The following is an 18409-nucleotide window of genomic DNA, read 5'->3' as shown; positions in this document are numbered from 1 at the left end:
CTGGGATGCCCTCCCAGATCCCCTTGGGGAGGGTCCCCCCTACAGAGACTCCAGCACCTCTCCCCCTCCTTTCCCTGTGCAAACCCAGCCCTCTTGCGCCCAGTCCGGGAACAGACTGGGGCCTAGCCTGAGGCCGCCGCCTCTGGCCTCTGTGCGCTCTGCATGCGCCTGTCTTTGCCCTTCCTGCCTCTCCCTCCTCACTTCACCCTTCTAATTTCCCTCCCCTTAACTCCCTTTCTTCTTTCTCCCAATTTCTACTCAATTCACCAAACAGCTATTTTTTCCTCCCAATTTTTATTTATTGCCCAAACAGCATTATACCAACAATAAAAGAAAGAAAAATCACCCACAATGCCACCGCCCTGTGGCGTCAACAGCTTCCGTTCCTCTGCTCCCTTCCAGGCTTGTCCATGCAGAGACGGCTGTAATTTTTACAGAGCTGTGGTTTCCGTCCCGCCTTCCCAGACCCCCAGATGGACGTGTGGCCCTGGGGCTCTGTCATTCCTCCATCCCAGCACTTGGCGTGTGGCTCAGGAATTATGTTCAAGCCTTCCTCCTCTTCTGAACTAAATGTCTTGAAGGAGAGACCCCTTTCTATCCCTGCCACCCCCACACCAAGCCACAGAGCTGGCACAGAGCGCGGGCACTCAATGCCTCGCAGTGGAATGGATTGTATGATTGTAGCTCTGTTTGACATGTCACACTTAGATATCAAAATGTTATCTTCGAGCCAGCCATGGTGGCTCACACCTGTAATCCCAGAGCTTTGGGGGGCTGTGGTGGGATGATTGCTTGAGACCAGGAGTTTGAGATAAAAAAAATACAAAAAAATAAAAATAATAATTTTTTTGGGGGGGCGGCGTTTCACTCTTGTCGCCCAGGCTGGAGTGCAATGGCACGATCTCAGCTCATGGCAACCTCTGCCTCCCAGGTTCAAGCAATTCTCCTGCCTCAGCCTCCCGAGTAGCTGGAACTACAGGAATGCACCACTACGCCTGGCTAATTTTTGTATTTTTAGCAGAGACGGGGTTTCACTATGTTGGCCAGGCTGGTCTCAAGCTCCTGACCTCAGGTGATCCACCCAACTCGGCCTCCCAAAGTGCTGGGATTACAGACGTGAGCCACCACACCCGGCAAAAAATAATTTAAAAAAAAAATTAGGCACCTGTAGTCCCAGCTACTCAGGAGGCTGAGGCGAGAGGATCACTTGAGCCCAGGAGGTTGAGGCTGCAGTGAGCTATGATCGTGCCACTACACTCCAGCCTGGGCAACCTTGTCCCTAAAAAACAAACAAAAATCATCTTCATAATTGTGGTTTTAACAGCTGCACGATATTCCACAAAGCTGATGGAATAACCCGCTCAGCCATGCCTGGTGGCTGTGCACAGTTCGGGGGATATGGCTGGGAGTCCACTGTGTGCCAGGTGCTGTTTAGGGCACCAGGGACCAGAAGTGAATCGGGCCCTGCTGGATCTCGCCCTGGCAAAGCTGAAATTCCAGCATGGGGGCTGGGCACCTAGACAGTTATGGCTTAGCAAGATCTTGCTGAAGCAGGCATTACCTCGTGACCCCAAGACAGAGGGCCAAGTCGATTTTGACATCAGCTTCCTCAGGGAGGTGCCTCTTGACCTGGGTCTTGGAGGGGCAGGAGGGATGTTCTTGCAGACAGCAGAAGCTCACAGTTGCTGTGACGTGAAACAGCCTTGGCTTTGAGGCTCAGGAATTCTTGGTTAGAGTGGGGGACAGAAGCTGGGGGGCGGATAGTGGAAGATGAGGTGGCTGGTGTCAGCCAGGATGGGTGTGCAGGGTCTTAGACAAACCTGGAGTGCCTCTTCTTTATCTTGGAAGGAGTAGGGCACCACGAGGGAGTGTCATTCCAGGAAGGGGACAGTGGGCTCTGAGAGTCAGAAAGATCACTGTTCAGTCAACAAACCCTTGCCGAGCCCCTGGGAGCTGTGGGCTCCAGGAGGACACAGGTGACTGGTAAAGGCAGTGTGGCCTTGGGCTGGAGGACTGAGCTAGTCCCTGCTGGGCACTCATGGGGGATGCACTCAGCCGCAAGGGCAGCTCAAGTCACCTGGCGATGATTTGTAGGTTCAACCTTGAGCTCACCAAGCCCCAGCTTCCCGGCTCCCAGAGGGGCAGTAACCCACACAGCCTGGTGGGGTGGGCCTTACCACCGGGCAGCCAAGGTCACCCTGGCCCTGCCCGAAGCATCCTTACCTCTCCAGCTGCCATCTACCCTCTCTGGAGCCCCTAAATCTGGGTCCTGCTCGCCATCCTGCAACTCACCAGCCATCGGCCCTGGGCACCATCCCAGCCTTGCTGTGCCTCCATTTCCTTATCTTAACAAGGCCATCTCAGACCTCCCAGGGCTAGCGAGAGTCCAGTGAGGTCCCAGGAGGAAAGTGCTTCGTATACAGTGAAGTATACAAAGTATACAATATGACTCACCATTATTAGACTGTGGTCAACTAAAGCTGGGCCACCCCTGGCTTCACTTGGGCCTGTTCTCAGCTGGGGGCAGGGGAAGGAGGTGACTTGACTCAAGGGAGGAACAGGGTCTTCCTCACTGGGGGGTGGGGTCTGTGGTCATCATCAGGGACCCTTAGCCCCAGGCTCTGTGCTGGGCATCCAGGCATGAAGCCATCCCAGGGCAGTGGTCAGGGGTTGGCACCAAGGCAAGGACAAATTGCAGATGTTCAGAGGGCACAACCCTGGCCTCAGCCTTCCCCACAGGCCCCAGCCTGGGTATCACCTCCAAGGAGGGGTGGACTCCTAGCTCGGGGCCCCAGTGATGCCCCAGTATACTACGGGATGTTCACGCGAATGCATGGATATGTAACCTCTGGATAGGCGGGCTGTGCATGCCACTTCAGGGACACCAGGCCAGCACACATCAGAAAGCTCCAGCAGTGGCCGGGTGCAGTAGCTCACGCCTGTAATCCCAGCACTTTGGGAGGCCGAGGCAGGTGGATCACTTGAGGTCAGCCATTCGTGACCAGCCTGGCCAACATGGCAAAACCCCGTCTCTACTAAAAATACAAAAATTAGCTGGCATGGTGGCGGATGCCTGTAATCCCAGCTACTGGGAAGGCTGAGGCAGGAGAATCACTTGAACCTGGGAGGCGGAGGTTGCCAGTGAACAGAGATTGTGCCACTGCACTCCAGCCTGGGCGACAGAGTGAGACTACGTCACAAAAAAAAAAAAAAAAAAAGGAAGGCAGGCAGGCAGGCAGGCAGGCTCCAGCAGCTTCTCTGATCCAAGTTCTAACTCCACTGTGCTCCCCTCCCACCATTATGCACAACACAGAGGGCTGGGGCTTCTCCCCTCTAAGCACAAGGTCTAGGACCAGGAGGGTGGGCCCTGGCGCAGAGCTTCAGGGAGAGCCAGAGAGCAAGACCTCCAGCCCAGGAGGAAAGTCCCAGAGAGGGTGCCCCAAGGAGCAGGCACAGAAGGGACAAAGCCAGGTAGGGTGAAGTCAGCAACCCCCAGGACTGGTGCTGGGAGCAGGGAGGGGCCCAAGGCAGGTCAGACCAGGCCACTGGCACCGGGGAGGCTGCCAGCCAGGACAAGAGCACCCCTCCAGCCCTGCTCCAGTGCCTGCCTCCTCCTCATCCTCATCCCTCCCTTCAGCATGCTCCTGCCCCCAGGCCTTGAAACAAGGGTCTTACTTCTCTGCACCCTTCCGCCTCTCCAGTCCTAACCAACTCCTCCTCATCAGCCCAGAGCCTGGCCAACCTATCATCAGAAAGGCCTCCCTAACCCCCACATCCCCACCACCCACCCACCTTCCTTTTTTTTTTTTAAGAGACAGGATCTACTATGTTGCCCAGGCTGGATTCGAACTCCTGAGCTCAAGCGATGCTCCCACCTCAGCCTCCCGAGTAGCTGGAATTGCAGGTGCCGCCACCATGCCCAGCTTCTAACCCCACCTTCCCGATTAGGTCACCTTCTTCTGTCTCCCTCCTCCACTTCTGTTTTGTAGCACTCAGCTCGTTGGTGATTGCTTATGATTTCTATGACTGCGTTTTTCATCTACCGGCCAACATGTCCACATCTCTAAGATCCGGGTGTGGCTGATTTTTTCTCTGGCGTTGTGTTTGCTTCCTGGGGAGTACGTACAATAGTATCGTGACTTAGAATCACAGGCACCTGTGTCCAGTGATGTGTGTTTTGTTAGTATTCATCTCTGCACCAGACTGTCGGCACCTTGAGGGCACAGCCGGGCCTATTTGGGTTCCTGCATGTCCCCAACCCCTGCTACAGTGTCCAGCATGTGGGGACAGCATGGTCAGGCATTGGTGAATGTGGTGAATGAATGGACAGAACATTAAACAGGAGCGAGCATCAGGCTGACAGAGCCCTTCAAGGCAACAATGACGGAGCTGTCCCAAGGCCAACCATGATTCATAAAACTGGGAATTGCCCGGAGATGATGGCTCCTGGGGTTCTGGGGGGCCAGATGCACATCCAGCTACTGGGGAGTGGGTAGAGTCTGGGTGTGAGTTTGGGGGGTGATGGAGACATGACGGGGGAGATCAGGTCTAACCAGCTGCCCCTGGGTGGGTGGGGAGACAGACGCCAGAGAGGGTGGGAACGCAGGCCTGGGCAAAGGCAAGACTGTGTCACCCGGGGGGTGGTTGTTCCACCTGTCAGCTGGTCAGCCCCCAGCCCCAGCAGGACTGAGGCGGTTGGTGGCCAGGCTTCTCTCATGGGCCCCTCCTTCCCTTGGGAGCTTCCTCTGCTCCCCACCAGTGACATCACCTCCCCTGCCCCCATCCCTTCCAGACACTCAGGGCTGCCTCTCCCGGCTCCCTCCCTTCTCAGCGATCATTCCCAGCAGAGAATATGCTTTTTGCGGTGATTTAGACCTTCCTTTACTCCAGCTGTCATTCACCTGTTACACACATCCCAAGTTCAGGAAGGAGATGTGAACTGTGTCCTGAAAGACAGCCCTGTGGAGACACCAGCCTCAGCCAGGGTAGGGAGGGCTGTGTGACGAGCAGCTCATGGGCATGGGTCCGAGAGGGGGGTGGGGGCGAGGCCAGCTGCGCAGGGTGGGCTGGGAAGGGCCTCCAGGAGAGAGACTGGGCCTTCTGGATGGTGCAGAGTCTGTGGCAGGTGGAAGCAAATGGGGGCTGGACCCCCGGGACAGTGAGGAAGGGGATGCCATTGGGAGCGAGAGGTAGGGCCTGATCCAAAGAGAGGGTGGCAGCCCCAAGACATCAGGGAGCCAGGGGACGGGGTCCCTGTGACTGCCCGAGGTAGGGGATGCAGGAGGCTCTGAGATTGGTGTCTCAGAGACCTCTACTGGGGATCCCCCCACCCCGTCACTGTGCCTCTTCTGCCGGCCGCCAGATGCCTGTTTCAGGGGCCCCAAGCTCTGCAGCCCCCTCATCTCCCCTCCCGTTCCTCTGCCCGTGTGAGCTGCTTTATGGCCTCAGCCTCCCCCACAGCGCAAAGGCTCTTGAGGCCCAGCGCCCACATCCCAGCACCCGGCTCAACCAACCCCAGCAGGTGGCCACTCCCCACCTCACTGGGAACTCAAGCAGCTCCTCGCCCTTCCCCTTGGGTTGTCTCTGTCCCCCAACAGATGCCAATAAAGCTAAGGCCACAGATGGTGCCCTGGGGCGGGGAGGTGGGGATGGGAGAGTCTGAGGTGGGGTGCCCTGAGTCCAGGGTCCCTCTCCCAGAGTCCTGGGGCTGCAGAGCTGGGGTTGCGGAAACAGATGGCATCTTCTGGGACCCCTCACCTGCCCTCGCCTGCTGGCCTAGGTGCTCCAGGGGCAGGGAAGTAAGGAGAAAGAGTGTCCTAAGCCCAGGGTCTCCCTCCCTGAGTCCTGGGAGGCAGAGCTGTACTCCAGAGCTGGGGCTGGATGTAGTCACTCAAAGCCACTTACCTGCCGGGCACAGGTGCCCCCAGCAGCCAGGCCTGGCAGGTTCTGAGCTAGGAGCACCAGCGCCGCTGAGGCTGGGGGCACTGGGAGGAGCTGCGGGAGGAGGGGGAGGGGAAGAGGGCCAGCGCCAGCGGCAGGGGGCGGGGCGCGATGGGGTTGCCCAGCAACCAGCACGCTGCCGCTGCCGAGGAGGGATTCTTAAAGAGCTGAGCAGAAAGGCTGGGCCGCGGAGGGAGCAGAGGGGCTGAGGCCGGGCCTCGCATACCAATGGCTGCCACACTGACCTCCTCCTGCCTCCTGCTCCTTCCTTCCGCCTCCTGCCTCCCACCTCCCTCCACCGTTTTCCCTCCTCCCTCTCCCTCCTCCCTCTGCAGCGTGGAGCCCAAGCTGGGAGGGCAGGGGAACAGAGAAGAGGAGGCGCCCAGGCCAGGGGGGCCCTAAGGCAGGCAGGCAGGGACCAGGCTAGGGTCCTGTCGTGTCCCCACAGGACAAGGCCTGGGAGGGGTAATAACACAGGGCAAGGGGCCCCCTCGGCTCCAGACCCTCAGCACAGGCCCTGGCGCTGGGGACAGCAGGGAACTAGAAGGCCTGGTCCCCACCCCACCCGGCCCTTCCCATGCGCCTCCCCAGCACTCCCCACTGGGGAAGCACTAGTTTTAGAGTCAGACACAACTGCTTCTTCCGCCTGCCCAGCCCCGCATCCTGAGAGTCCTGGGCAGCCTCAGAGGGTGAGCAGCCACTGGCTGCAGAGAGGTGGCGGGTGCCCGGCAGGCAGAGGACGGTGCTTCCTGGTGTCTGACTTAGATTCCCTGCGCAGCAAGTGGCTGCTGCCTTTCCTCTGTCTTTACTGAGAAGGGAACGTTTTTGGCCTTGGTGCAACACTTCCTATTCTAAAAAGCAAAGTGACAATTCAGCTGTGCCACCTTCTTCCAGTTCCTTTCCTTCTAGGGCCTCGGTTTCAAATCCGTGGTGGGGGAGGGGAACCTAGGTCAAGGGCTCCTTGCTGGGGGCCCCGGGAGGATCCTCCCACGGAAATTGTAGGCCGAGTGTAGTGCTTACAGGCAGCGTCTGGGGAAGTGTTCAAAGCGGTCACTGGGGGCCAGGGGGAGGCTATAACCTATAACCCCAGAGGTTAAGACCTGAGCCTCTGGGTGGGCTAGACATGAATGAGCCCCTTCCCAGCTTCCTGCAGAGGGTGGTGGAAGCCCCCATGGGCAGGAGGGTGGCGGGGCTACAGCTACCACTGTGTCTTCATAGACCATGTGCTCTTCCATTGACTGGATTGAGCCAGTTCTGAGCCAATCGCATCCTTGATCCAGTCCCATCTCCACGGTCTTCTCTTTGGTCCCATGGGCTCAATCATGCCGCCTCTCCCAGCCCTCCCTCAACCCATCCTCAGCCACCACCATCCCTGCAGCCCCTGCCTCCAGGACCACCTCTTCAATCTGCTCCCTTCCCCAGCTCTAAAGGGGGTCTTTCTAAAGGGCAAGACCAACCCTGCTGCTCCCAGCTCCAGCACCCGCCATGACACCCCATGACTGTGGGAGAAGGATCAGGGAGGGCCCCGTGGGCCTGGTCACCTCTCTGCCCTCCTCTCAGCCACACTCCCCTCTGCAAAGCCCCTTCCCCACTGCTAACCCTCTGTGACATCGGTGGCCTCATCAATGTCTGTTGAATGAATGAGTAGTCATAAGAGGAGCTCTTAGGTGCCAGGCCATGCCGGCCTTTGGGATCCAGGAATGTACAAAGCAAATGAGGTCGTCTCCCCACAGGCTGCCATGCTGTTAATAAACCAGCAAACACATCAGAGGATGAGGTCATTATGGGCACAGGGTGTGGGCTCCAGAGGAAATAAAGAGGCTGATAAGGGGAATGGGGCAGAAGGCCTTTTAACTGGGTGGTCAGGGGCAGCCCCTTAGAGGAGGTGACATTTTCATTGAGTCCTGAAGGATAAGAAGGAGCTCAGCTTGGGAAGAGCTGGAAGAGTGTGCCAGGCAGAGGGAAACGTATGTGCAAAGGCCCTGGGGCATGAAAGAGCCAGACCTATTGAAGGAAGAGAAAAGAGGCCAGGAAATTGTGGGGGAGGGGTGTGGGGTACAGCCATGCCTCCATGGAGGGAAGCATGGATTTTATTCTAAGTATAATCGGAAGCTATTGGAGAATTTTAAGCAGGGAAGTGACACGATCTAATTTATATTTTAACACGATCATCTGAACAACCACTTTGCAGAGCAATTTGGCAATAACTAGTAAAGTTAAGATATGCGCACTCCACAACCCAGCAGCCCACTCCTAAGTGTGGACCCAAGAGAAATTCTGGTGCATGTGTGCATGGGGCGTGTAAAGATGCTACTGCCACTGTGTTTGCATGAGACAAAACCAAGCATGCTTGACTGTGGGTCAGTGGGAGAATGGGTGGCTGGGCGTGGGGTAGTTCCACCATGGAACATTAAACACCAGTGAACACGAGGCCGAGCGCAGTGGCTCACACCTGTAATCCCAGCCCTTAGGGAGGCTGAGGCAGGAGGCTCACTTGAGCCCAGGAGTTCAAGACCAGCCTGGGCAACATGGGGAGATCCTGTCTCTGTGAAATTTTTGTTTGTTTGTTTTCCCGAGATAAGTCTTGCTCTCTTGCCCAGAGCTGGAGTGCAATGGCACAATCTCGGCTCACTGCAACCTCCGCCTCCCAGATTCAAGCAATTCTCCTGCCTTAGCCTCCCGAGTAGCTGGGATTACCGGCGCGCACCACCACGCCCAGCTGATTTTTATATTTTTAGTAGAGACGGGGTTTCACCATGTTGGCCAGGCTGATCTCGAACTCTTGACCTTGTGATATACCCGCCTCGGCCTCCCAAAGTGCTGGGATTACAGGTGTGAGTTACGGCGCCCGGCCCGAAAATTTTAAAATTAGCCGGATGTGGTGATGTGTGCCTGTAGTCCTAGCTACTTGGGAGGCTGAGGCAGAAGGATCTCTTGAGCCCGGGAGGTCATGGCTGCAGTGAGCTATGATCCCACCATTGCACTCACTCCAGTCTGGGCAACAGAGCGAGACCGTCTGAAAAAAAAAAAAAAGGAGCGGGGGGGGCCCATGAGAGCAGTGTGGGCCTGCCCAGATAAATCTTACAAGCATTGCAATGAATAATAACAGCAAACCGGGAGCTCCCGTTTATACAAAACTCAAAGACACAGAACCTATCTTACCTTGTTGAGGGGCACGCATAGTAAAACTCTAAAGAAAATAACATGCCAAATCCAGAATAGTGGACACCTCTGCAGGGAGGGGGCTTCTGCTGTTTTGTGAGGTTGATTCATCCATGCAGGAAATGCATGGAAAAGGCTCATCAGTTGCTGGGAGAGGAAGGCATGAGGGGTGAGGGGCAGCTGAGGAGCCGCCTATGTAGGAGGCCACAGCAGCCACGCCTCCTGGGATGGGGATCTGGGAGTCAGGGGGAGCCCAGGCTGGCCTGGCTGTTCAGAGCTGGTGCTCACTCTTTCCTCGTGCAAACTCCTGCTTTGTTTTCTACTAAAATAGCCCCAGCTGGGTATGGTGGCTCCTACCTGTAATCTGAGTACTTTGACTTGAGGTCAGGAGTTCAAGACTAGCCTGGCCAACATGGTGAAACCCCGTCTCTACTAAAAATACAAAAATCAGATGGGTGTGGTGTCGTGTGCCTGTAGTCCCAGCTACTCAGGAGGCTGAGGCCTGGCAGAATCTCTTGAACCTGGGAGGTGGAGGGTGCAGTGAGCCCAGGTAGCACCACTGCACTCCAGCCTGGGCGACAGAGTGAGACTCTGTCTCAAAAAAAATTTAAAAATTAAAGAACAATAAAATAGCTTCTGGTTTTCTCCTTTTAGAAGAAAGCTGAATCACAGAGAGGCAAGGGGCTTTCTGGGGTCACCCAGCAAGCTGGGTGCAGAGGAACCCGTGACTTTTCCTACGGGGCAGTCGGGCCTGCCCAGCTGGGGCTGGGCCTTGACCTTTCCTAGGGGTCAAGGCTGCCTTCAAGACCCACAGACTGAGGGGTCCATGGCCGTCCTAAGGCCCCCCAACTCCTCCCTCATCTTCTCTGATGCCCTCCACCCTCCCACCCGCCAAGGCTCCCTGGATCACCAGCCCCTCATTCTTGCAAGGATGGAGACTGCCCGGCTGGCTGGGGCCCAAGCCATCTCCTGGTAATTGAGTTTCAGGGATGCTTATGGTTATGCTAATGTGGGATGCTGAGTGCCTGCCCCATGGCGCCCAGGAGAGGGGAGGCCCAGGCAGCAGCTGGGGGTCCTGCAGTGCAGCAGCTCAGTCCTCCCATGGAAGTCAGACAGCCCAATTCAGACCCAGCTCCCCACTCCCCAGCTGCATGACCTTGGGCAAGTCACTCAGCCTCTGCGAACCTCTATTTTCTCATCTGTAAAGTGGGAAAAATCATAGGACCCCCTCAACGGGCTCTTGTGGGGAGGGCGAAATGAAAGAAGCCACTGGAAATACTTGGCCCAATGCAAAGCACGGAGAACTTATTTGATAAATGTGTCATCAGCTATTTTTTGTTTCGTTTTAAAGTCTGGAAGGTCCTTCAGGGCCATGGGAATGGGGCGAGCCGAGTCTGCGCCATGAGCGAGCAGCTGACTTGCGTTTCTCTTGTTTTTGTGTTGCATGCTCATGGTATTCCATTTGGTGGAATGAACATGAATTTTTTACTTAGGAAAATAGCAATAAGTGGAAGGTGCCTGGGGACAGGGCTTGGAGAGGGGGTGTTGAGGGGGACCTCCATGTTGCCAGGGGTTTAGGGGACAGCTTGGGGTGAGACTGGCCAGGAGCTTGGGTCTCCAGGGGCCCAGGCAGCCAGGCAGACAGAGCCCAAGAAACCCAGGCAGGAAGCAGACAAGAGAGGCCCAGGCCAGCTGGAACCGCAGCCACGCCATTTCAAACAGTGAACTGTGAGGCTTTTATGGGGAGAGGCGTGGGGGTGGGATGCCTCGATTAGACCAGGAAGAGGGGCTATAGAGTGGAGTGGACGTGGGCAAACAGGCAGGGGGCACCTGGAGGTGTGTGGGAGTGAAGGAGGCCGCTCTGAGGTACAGGGGAGTCGGGGAAAGGAGGGCCTGGAATGGGCCCAGTGGGAAGGAGGAGACCCAGGGGAATCTAGTGGGGATGCCCAGCTGGGTACCACCCCAGCAGCTTTGAGCAGCTCCCAGGCTCGTCAGAGAAGACGTGGTGAGGGGCTTAGCCCTGGAGCAGCGGGGTTCAAATCCTTCTCCCTGACTTACCAGGAGTGCTGGGACCTTCTGCCCCCAGGAACCGCCCCCACCCAGCTTCGGGGCCCACTGCCACAGTGAAGCCCTGTGAGGCTGTAGGTTTTACGGGCATTTTTAACTTTATCATCTATGCCTCACAAGGGCCTCAGTTAAATGATCACCCCCCCTACAGATGAGGAAACTGAGGCCCCAGGAGGTGGGGCAGCTGACCCGAGATCACAGCTGGGGGTTTCAGGACCAGGGCTGGCAAAGCATAAGACTGTTGGCTCCTCCCACTGAAGTCTGTGGCCTTAGGCAAGTCATTTCTCTTCTCTGGGCCTCAGTTTCCCCATCTGTAAGTGGGACAGGAGGGTGTGTGCAAAGATGATGGTCAAAGATCCATGTGGAGGCCAGGCGTGGTGGCTCACCTGTAATCCCAGCACTTTGGGAGGCTAAGGCAGATGGATCACTTGATATCAGGAATTTGAGACCAGCCTGGCCAACATGGTGAAACCCCAATTGTACTAAAAATAGCAAAATTAGCCCGGCGTGGTGGCACATGCCTGTAGTCCCAGCTACTCGGGAGGCTGAGGCAGGAGAATCTCTTGAACCCAGGAGGCAGAGGTTGCAGTGAGCTGAGATCGCACTACTGTGCTCCAGCCTGGGCTCCATCTCAAAAAAAAAAAAAAAAAAAAAAAAATCCATGTGGAAGCTTGCTGGGGATGCACTTGGTGCCCATAAATGGGAGCCCTCACCCTCCAGTGAGGCCCCTGCTCCCCTGGCTCCCCAGCCTGGAAAATGTCCAGGAAGTCTCCCACCTTCCACCTGGGCCGCCCTACCACGGAGGACAGTGACCTTGGCCTGGGGGGACAGAGCTTGTCAAACAAGCAACTGCTCTCACAGCTTGAGGGGCCTTTGAAGTCTCTTATTTTATCTTCAAAATCCAGCACATTTCACATGTTATTCCATCTGCGGGGTGTTTCTAATCTAAAACATGTTTTAAACGACTCGCCCTCAAGTCACACGGATACCCACCGCTGGCCTGCAGGAAGTGGGGCATCGATTTCCAAGAACAAACTCCGCTCCCCTAAGCCCCCTGTGGGGCCAGGCCTGCCAGCTGGTCAGATGCTGGGACAGTTGGCAGTCATGGAGCCCCTTGGAGGTGCCAGGCTCTGTGCTGATGGCGGGGATCTGAGCTCGGGGAGGGTGAGGAGGATGCTGGGGACACACTTTGTGGGAGCACCAAGGAGGCTTGCTATCCCCAGGGGAAGTCTGAGAGGCATCCCGGAGGCAGGGGTCACCCGGACACTGCAGTAGCCAGGAGGCCCCTCCTGCCACTGCCTGTGCCCCCAGTCCCTTCCCTGTGCGGTTCATCCCTCCTCTGTCTAAACCCCCCAGCAGCTCCCATTTCTCACTAAGGCTCTCAAGGCCCCCCAGGGGCTGCTCTTGCCTGAGCCCCCTCACTTCTGTCCTCCTTCCCTGCTCCTCAGCCCCTGAGGTCTCAAGGCCTTTGCTCCTCGTCCCCCACCCCTGCCTGGCTGTGCTGCTCACACCAGCTCCAGGGTTCAGCAGGCCCCACCCACCCCTCCAGATCCACTGCCCGCCGCCACCTCACACCCCCCCCCCCCCCCCCCGGCCCCCTGCCACTCCCTTGCATTTCCTTCTCGGCCTCTGGCACTCACAGGGATTCTTGTGCAAGTTGATTCTCGTGCTGTCTTTCCTGATGGTCTCCCAGCCAGATGATGCACGTGCCAGCAGGGCTGCCCCATCCGTGTCCCAGCGCCTGGCACACGGTGGGGCTGGCTGCACACTTGTCAGAGAACAGAAGGCTGAGATCCGGCTCACAAGGGGAAGAGGAGAATGAAGGCCAGGCCAGGACGCTGGGTGACTTAGGGGAGCAGCCCCCACCCCCCCAACTCCTGGCTGGGGCCCCTCCAGGCAGCTGAGGCCAGGGTGAGGCCCAGAGCAGCAAGCAGGGGGAGTGGAGGCGGCCTCCAGGGACATGCAGGTGGGCTGTGCCCGCCTCAAAGTCACCTCTGTGCCTGCTCGCCCAGCCTCTCCCTGGCCCAGGAACCTGCTCAGCGCTTTCCTTGGGTCACTGCGTCTCCTCTGATGTCCCGGCCCCCACACAGCACCCCTCACCGCCCTCGGCAGCCCCCCTCCCTGGGCTGGAGGATTTCGTCCCTGTCAGGGGAACAGCAGAGGCAGTTCCTGCACCTGAGCACCTTCGTGGCTCTGGCCTCCTGCCACTGCCCTTGGAGCAGCCCCTGTCGCCTACACAGCTCCCGGCCCAGGTCCTGCCTCCCAAGGGCCCCAGGGTGGGCTCCCCTGCATGGCCCATGGTAGAGAGCTGGAGCTTGGGAGTCAGGCAGGCAGACCCAGCTTAAATCCAGCTGAGTGACTCTGGGCACCATCTGTAATGTCCACGGGCTCCTTCAGGAACTCATTAGTGGGCACCTGCTGTGAGCCAGGCGCTGTGCTGAGAGCCGGGGAAGAACCATGAGGGAGACACCCGAGGGCAGGAGTGGGGGTATCAAGATAAGCACCTGGGGGCCGGGCGCCGTGACTCACACCTGTAATCCTAGCGCTTTGGGAGACCGAGGTGGGTGGATCACCTGAGCTCAGGAGTTCGAGACCAGCCTGGCCAACATGGTGAAACCCCGTCTCTAAAAATAAAAAAAATTAGCCAGGCATGGTGGCTCGCACCTAGACTTTCAGCTACTCAGGAGGCTGAAGTGGGAGAATCACTTGAACCCTGGAGGCAGTGGTTGCAGTGAACCGAGATCGAACCACAGCACTCCAGCCTGAGCGACAGTGAGACTTCATTTCCAAAAAAAAGATAGGCACCTGGGAGGGGATTCTGGAGGCAGTGATAGTGATTCATGGCCCCCCCAGGAGAGCATCACCGGGGGCCAGGAGACCTGAGGAGGTGGCAGATGATGAGGGTCTCCTCCAGGCAGAGGGGCCATGGCAGAGTCTATGAAAAGGGTCTGGGGCTGGAGAGCATGGGGCAAGTTTGAGGACCATATGTACGGCAGAGGGAGAGGAGAAGGGGAGGAGATGGTCGATGGGGCCTGGGGGTCTGCAAGGAGCCAGTCTTTATCCTAAGAGCAAAGGGATTTCTCATTTCTCACTAAGGCTCCCAAGTCCCCCAGGGTTCCCTACTGGGAGGGTTTTCATAGGGCAGCTGGGGCAAAATAGGAGATTTTACCTCCTCTCCAAATGTACATTGTGAGAGGATCACTTTCCGTGTCTCAGCGTCCTCATCTGTAAAACAGGTCTGTAAACACGTCTTCCAGACAGGGAAAGGATTAAATGAGCTGTGCATGCACCAAGCTTACCCAGCCTGGGCCCAGGCATTCCACCTTGTTGGTCCCTTTCCTCCATAAAACATATCTTAAATTATATTTTATGACTTGGTTAGCATCAAGACAAATGTATTAATATTATATCTGATAACATTGTCTTTGACCTAAAAGTTCATTGTTTTCTTCTGATTTTAAAAGAACTGCAACATCTTTGTGGGCCCCTAAAAGTGTCATGGGCCCTAAGCACGTGTCTACTGTGCCCAGCAGGGAGGCTGGCCCTGCCTGGGCCCTAGGAGGCTGGCGCTGCCCTCTCAGTGAGGTGTTGGCTGGTAGGGTGCCCTCATCATGCACGTCCCCGTGCCCCTCCCTCCATGCCTTTCCTTCTTATCCTTCAAGCCTCAGCTCAAATGCCACCTCCTCCGAGAAGCCTTCCCAGTCTGCAGACTTCAGTAGATCCCACACGCCCCCATTCCCCTCGCCACAGCATTTAGCACGCCCGGGGCAGCTCTCAAGCCTGCTCCCAGCTACCCCTCCGGTCAGGACTGGAAGCTTCCAAGGCCCAGGGACTCCATACTGTTCTTTTCTCTGTGCCTGCTGCCCAGCACAACCCTGGCACCCAACTGGCACTGAATTCAAATGTTTTGTGTGGAGCATGGAGGAGGGGCCGGGTGCCACCTGTGCCTCGGGCCTCCTGTGACCTGTCGTTTCTGAGCACTCAGGTCTGGCCCTCTCCCTTTCGCTGGACAGCGGCCACCTGCTAGCCTCTAACTAGGCTGGGAGCAGGGGCACAAACTGGGGAGCTACTGCACCTGCCCTCAGGGACAGCAAGTGCTGGGGCAGAGGAGGGCCGGGAGGAGGGGTGTGTGGGAGTCGGAGACTGAGGTTTCCAGGCCCCCAGTCCCCAGGGACCGCCAGCAGCGGACAGAGGACTTGGCAGTGACTGGCATTGAGGGGTGCCACCCCAAGGTCACAGGCGCAGCACCGGGCTCAGAGCCAGTTAATCAAGTCCCAGGGAGCATGGCGCAGGCATGTCCTCGGGCGGGGGGAACCCGATGGGGCCGGGCCACCTCGGCCTGCAGTGGGGGCCTACAGGTGACTCCAAGAGCAGACCACAGACTAGGGCACTCCACAGCCTCCAGGGTGTGCTTGCTGCCGGGAGGCCCCGCCCCCACCCAGAGCCAAAGCGAACTGTGCCGCTCCAAGCTCCCAGGTCCAGGCTCGGGTCCCCCACTCAGCCCCACATGGCGTTCAAAGGCCCCTGTTTGCTGGGAGCAGGTCTGGGTCCCTTGGGTGGGGCTGGATCATGAGCCCCAGCTTGGACTCGCAGTCCAGTGCCCATCCCCCACCTCACACAGCCACTGCCCGCCTGAAGCCACCACGCCTTCAGCAAGAAGAGCCCTTTGAGGTGGGCATGTTGGGGGTCAAGAAAAGGAGCTGTGACAACCAGTGCTCCTGGGCCCACCTGCATCTCCCCCAGTCCCCGGGTACTCTGTGAGCCTCAGTTTCCTCCTCTGGAAACTGGGTTGATGACTTGTTGTGTAAGGACCAGAGCCTCCCAGCAAACTGAGGGGGGTGGTGCAGTAGAGAGGGGACTTAGAGGCTCAAGCCGGTGGCCAGGAACTAGCTGAGGTGAAAAGGGCCGGCCACAGGCCAAGATGTTGGGGTGCACGGAGGCCTGAGGAGCAGGGAGACCTGAGAGGCCCTGCCCTGGGCTGGGCGGGCTGGGTGGCCACACCCAGAAGCCTGTCTGTTGGCATTGGCTGGCACAGCCTCCCTAGGCTCTTCTCTGCAAGCCTCCGGGCCATTCCCCTGCACAGCCTGGCCCAGCTCTCCGGCCTTGGAGGCAGCTTTATGGGGGAACCATGTGGCTTGGTGTCGAGGCCCAGGGGCCAGAACGGGGGCCCAGGGAAAGGAGGAGCTGAGGAACTGGGTCCCAGCCACCAGGTTGGCCACCTGACCCCCAGAGCCCCCCCACCCGTGGGACGTCAGGCACAGGGGGCTAGAGAAGGGGGCACAGTAGACTGGCCTCCCGGGGCACCCACTGTGCGTGGGTGGCCTGGGACCAGGTCCTCCGTGCATCCAAGTCTGAGCCCCCAGCACTGGGCCGCAGCCACTCTCCTGCCTGTGGCAAATCCCATCTCCTGGCCTGGCCTCCCCCAGCTCCACCCAGCAAAGTCTTCCCTCTGCCCCCAGCTCACCCCCTCCTCAGGCTCTGGCCGGGTTGGCGTCAGGTCAGTTCACCCCACTCACCTTGCCGGGTGCAGTGCAGGCCACACACAGTGGAGTTTGGGGGCGCCAGGTGGGCAGGGGAATGGCATCACCTTCCCACAGGGGACTGCAGAACAGCAGGTCAGCAACCCTCCCCTACCACCCCTTCGAGGCTCGCTGCCAACCTATTTGGCACAGTGCCCTCTTTGAGCAGGAGCCAGCTCATTTGTGGCCGGTGTTAATTAAGAGAGAGAGGTGATGGGGGGAGGTGGGGGGGTCCCGAGGAGGGCAGCTGCCGACCGCTGCCAGGACTGCCCAGGCCAAGGGGCCTGGAGCTGGACCGAGACCTGAGATGCCCCCTCCTCCCTCGCTGGCTCTGGGGTGGCACTGCCCAGATGCCCAGCCCTCGCCTCTGCAGCTGGACCTGCTGGGGTGGGGAGTGGGTGGAGGCTGCATCTGGGGCTTGCGGGGTACTCTGCCTGGTTTCGAGAAGGCAAGCCCCACCCCTGGCCAGGGAAAGGCAGTCCCTCTGACCGACCCTCAGACAGTGTCCCTGGGGTCAGCTGGCTTCGTGGCTTGGCTTTGGAGTCAGACAGACTCTTCCAATTCTGCTGCTGCCACCCCATGACTGAAGCTCCCTAAGCCTCAGTCTCCTTCTCTGTAAAATGGGAACCATCGCACCTCCCTTGTGGCTTTGTTATGATAATAAATGGGCCCATCTGTGCCCAGCACCCCGTCTACACCCAGCAAATAGTCTTGGTCAGCAGAAATGTACATTCATGCCCAGGCGCGGTGGCTCACACCTGTAATCCCAGCACTTTGGGAGGCCGTGGCGGGTGGATCACTTGAGGTCAGGAGTACGATACCAGCTTGACCAACATGGTGAAAACCAGTCTCTACCAAAAATACAAAAAATTAGCCGGGTGTGGTGGCGCATGCCTGTAGTCCCAGCTACTCAGGAGGCTGAGGCAGGAGAATCACTTGAACCTGGGAGGTGGAGGTTGCAGCGAGCCGAGATGGTGCCACTGCACTCCAGCCTGGGCCACAGAGCCAGACTCCATCTCAAAAAGAAAGAAAGAAAGAAAGAAAGAAATGTGCATTTGTGGGCACAGGCCCCACCCAGAGTCACTGGGGGGCCCGCCCCTCTGCAGCCTGTCCTGGGCCAGCCTGGGCACCCCATTGTGGTCCGTGTCCTGCTCTCCCTCCAGCTCCAGCTCCGGCTTCGGCTCATGCTCCCACTGCCTCGCTGGCACCACTCAGCTCACCTCCCCCTCACTTCCCGCGGCCCCCACCCCTGCTTTGGGAGCGCCCAGCCGCTCCTCGCCTCTCCATCTTAATTAGCTGCTTGTATTAATCTCGCAAGTAACATGGCAACTTGCAGCCCTGGGTTTTTGGGCGGTGGAATTAATTATTCCCCAAGCGAAGAGCTGTCAGCTCTGGGAGACCAGCCACTCGGAGCCGCCCGACACCACTTAGCAGCGTCCATGCCGTCCTCACGGCATCTTGGGCCTGCAGCCTGGCCACCCAGCTCAGCTCTGTGTCCCCTCATCCTTTCTACAGAAAGGGCTGCAATGGTCTGGGCAGATGGGGTGGGTAGCAAAGCTGTGTGCAGAGCTGAAGGCCCTGTCTGGGAGCCAGGACTCCTCGGCAGAGGGGCGGGCGCAGCTGGCCTCCCACCTGGGCAGCATCTGGGCCTGGGCGGCACCTGCCTGGCCTCACCCGCTGCTTTCCCTGATGAGCTCTGGCAGTTACCACGGACGCAGGCT

The 18409-nt window shown here is 58.1% G+C and overlaps 1 protein-coding gene and 1 long non-coding RNA gene across 5 annotated transcripts in view, besides 5 other annotated features; one reads left to right on the top strand and one right to left on the bottom strand.

Moving 5' to 3' along the window:
* Nucleotides 1-18409, top strand: part of MACROD1 (mono-ADP ribosylhydrolase 1) — a 167556-nt gene that overhangs the window by 131419 nt on the left and 17728 nt on the right. The window lies entirely within an intron of this gene.
* Nucleotides 1511-6439, bottom strand: LOC124902685 (uncharacterized). 2 transcript variants are annotated; one of them, XR_007062706.1, is made up of 3 exons: nucleotides 4902-5338; nucleotides 3954-4111; nucleotides 1511-1897 (listed from the first exon to the last, which is right to left on the bottom strand). It is a non-coding gene; the product is annotated as an uncharacterized LOC124902685 (long non-coding RNA). The 2 variants fall into 2 exon arrangements; XR_007062707.1 differs by lacking the exon at nucleotides 1511-1897 and adding an exon at nucleotides 5905-6439 and having other exon boundaries at nucleotides 3873-4111; nucleotides 4902-5142.
* Nucleotides 6151-6952: an enhancer, noted in NCBI's record as "H3K27ac-H3K4me1 hESC enhancer chr11:63795215-63796016 (GRCh37/hg19 assembly coordinates)". NCBI's record gives its function as "activates a minimal SCP1, AML or CMV promoter by ChIP-STARR-seq in naive and primed H9 embryonic stem cells {active_cell/tissue: H9 hESC(naive and primed)}" and the evidence as "EXISTENCE:reporter gene assay evidence [ECO:0000049][PMID:30033119]".
* Nucleotides 10351-11049: an enhancer, noted in NCBI's record as "NANOG-H3K27ac-H3K4me1 hESC enhancer chr11:63791118-63791816 (GRCh37/hg19 assembly coordinates)". NCBI's record gives its function as "activates a minimal SCP1, AML or CMV promoter by ChIP-STARR-seq in primed H9 embryonic stem cells {active_cell/tissue: H9 hESC(primed)}" and the evidence as "EXISTENCE:reporter gene assay evidence [ECO:0000049][PMID:30033119]".
* Nucleotides 11748-12446: an enhancer, noted in NCBI's record as "H3K4me1 hESC enhancer chr11:63789721-63790419 (GRCh37/hg19 assembly coordinates)". NCBI's record gives its function as "activates a minimal SCP1, AML or CMV promoter by ChIP-STARR-seq in primed H9 embryonic stem cells {active_cell/tissue: H9 hESC(primed)}" and the evidence as "EXISTENCE:reporter gene assay evidence [ECO:0000049][PMID:30033119]".
* Nucleotides 11864-12158: a silencer, noted in NCBI's record as "tiled region #3196; HepG2 Repressive DNase matched - State 8:EnhW". NCBI's record gives its function as "represses a minimal TATA promoter and a strong SV40 promoter by Sharpr-MPRA in HepG2 cells {active_cell/tissue: HepG2}" and the evidence as "EXISTENCE:reporter gene assay evidence [ECO:0000049][PMID:27701403]".
* Nucleotides 12447-13145: an enhancer, noted in NCBI's record as "H3K27ac-H3K4me1 hESC enhancer chr11:63789022-63789720 (GRCh37/hg19 assembly coordinates)". NCBI's record gives its function as "activates a minimal SCP1, AML or CMV promoter by ChIP-STARR-seq in primed H9 embryonic stem cells {active_cell/tissue: H9 hESC(primed)}" and the evidence as "EXISTENCE:reporter gene assay evidence [ECO:0000049][PMID:30033119]".

Source organism: Homo sapiens, chromosome 11 (assembly GCF_000001405.40).
Source record: "Homo sapiens chromosome 11, GRCh38.p14 Primary Assembly".
In the NCBI taxonomy this organism is placed as follows: Eukaryota; Metazoa; Chordata; class Mammalia; order Primates; family Hominidae; genus Homo; species Homo sapiens.
This window is presented reverse-complemented; position numbering and strand designations above follow the sequence as displayed.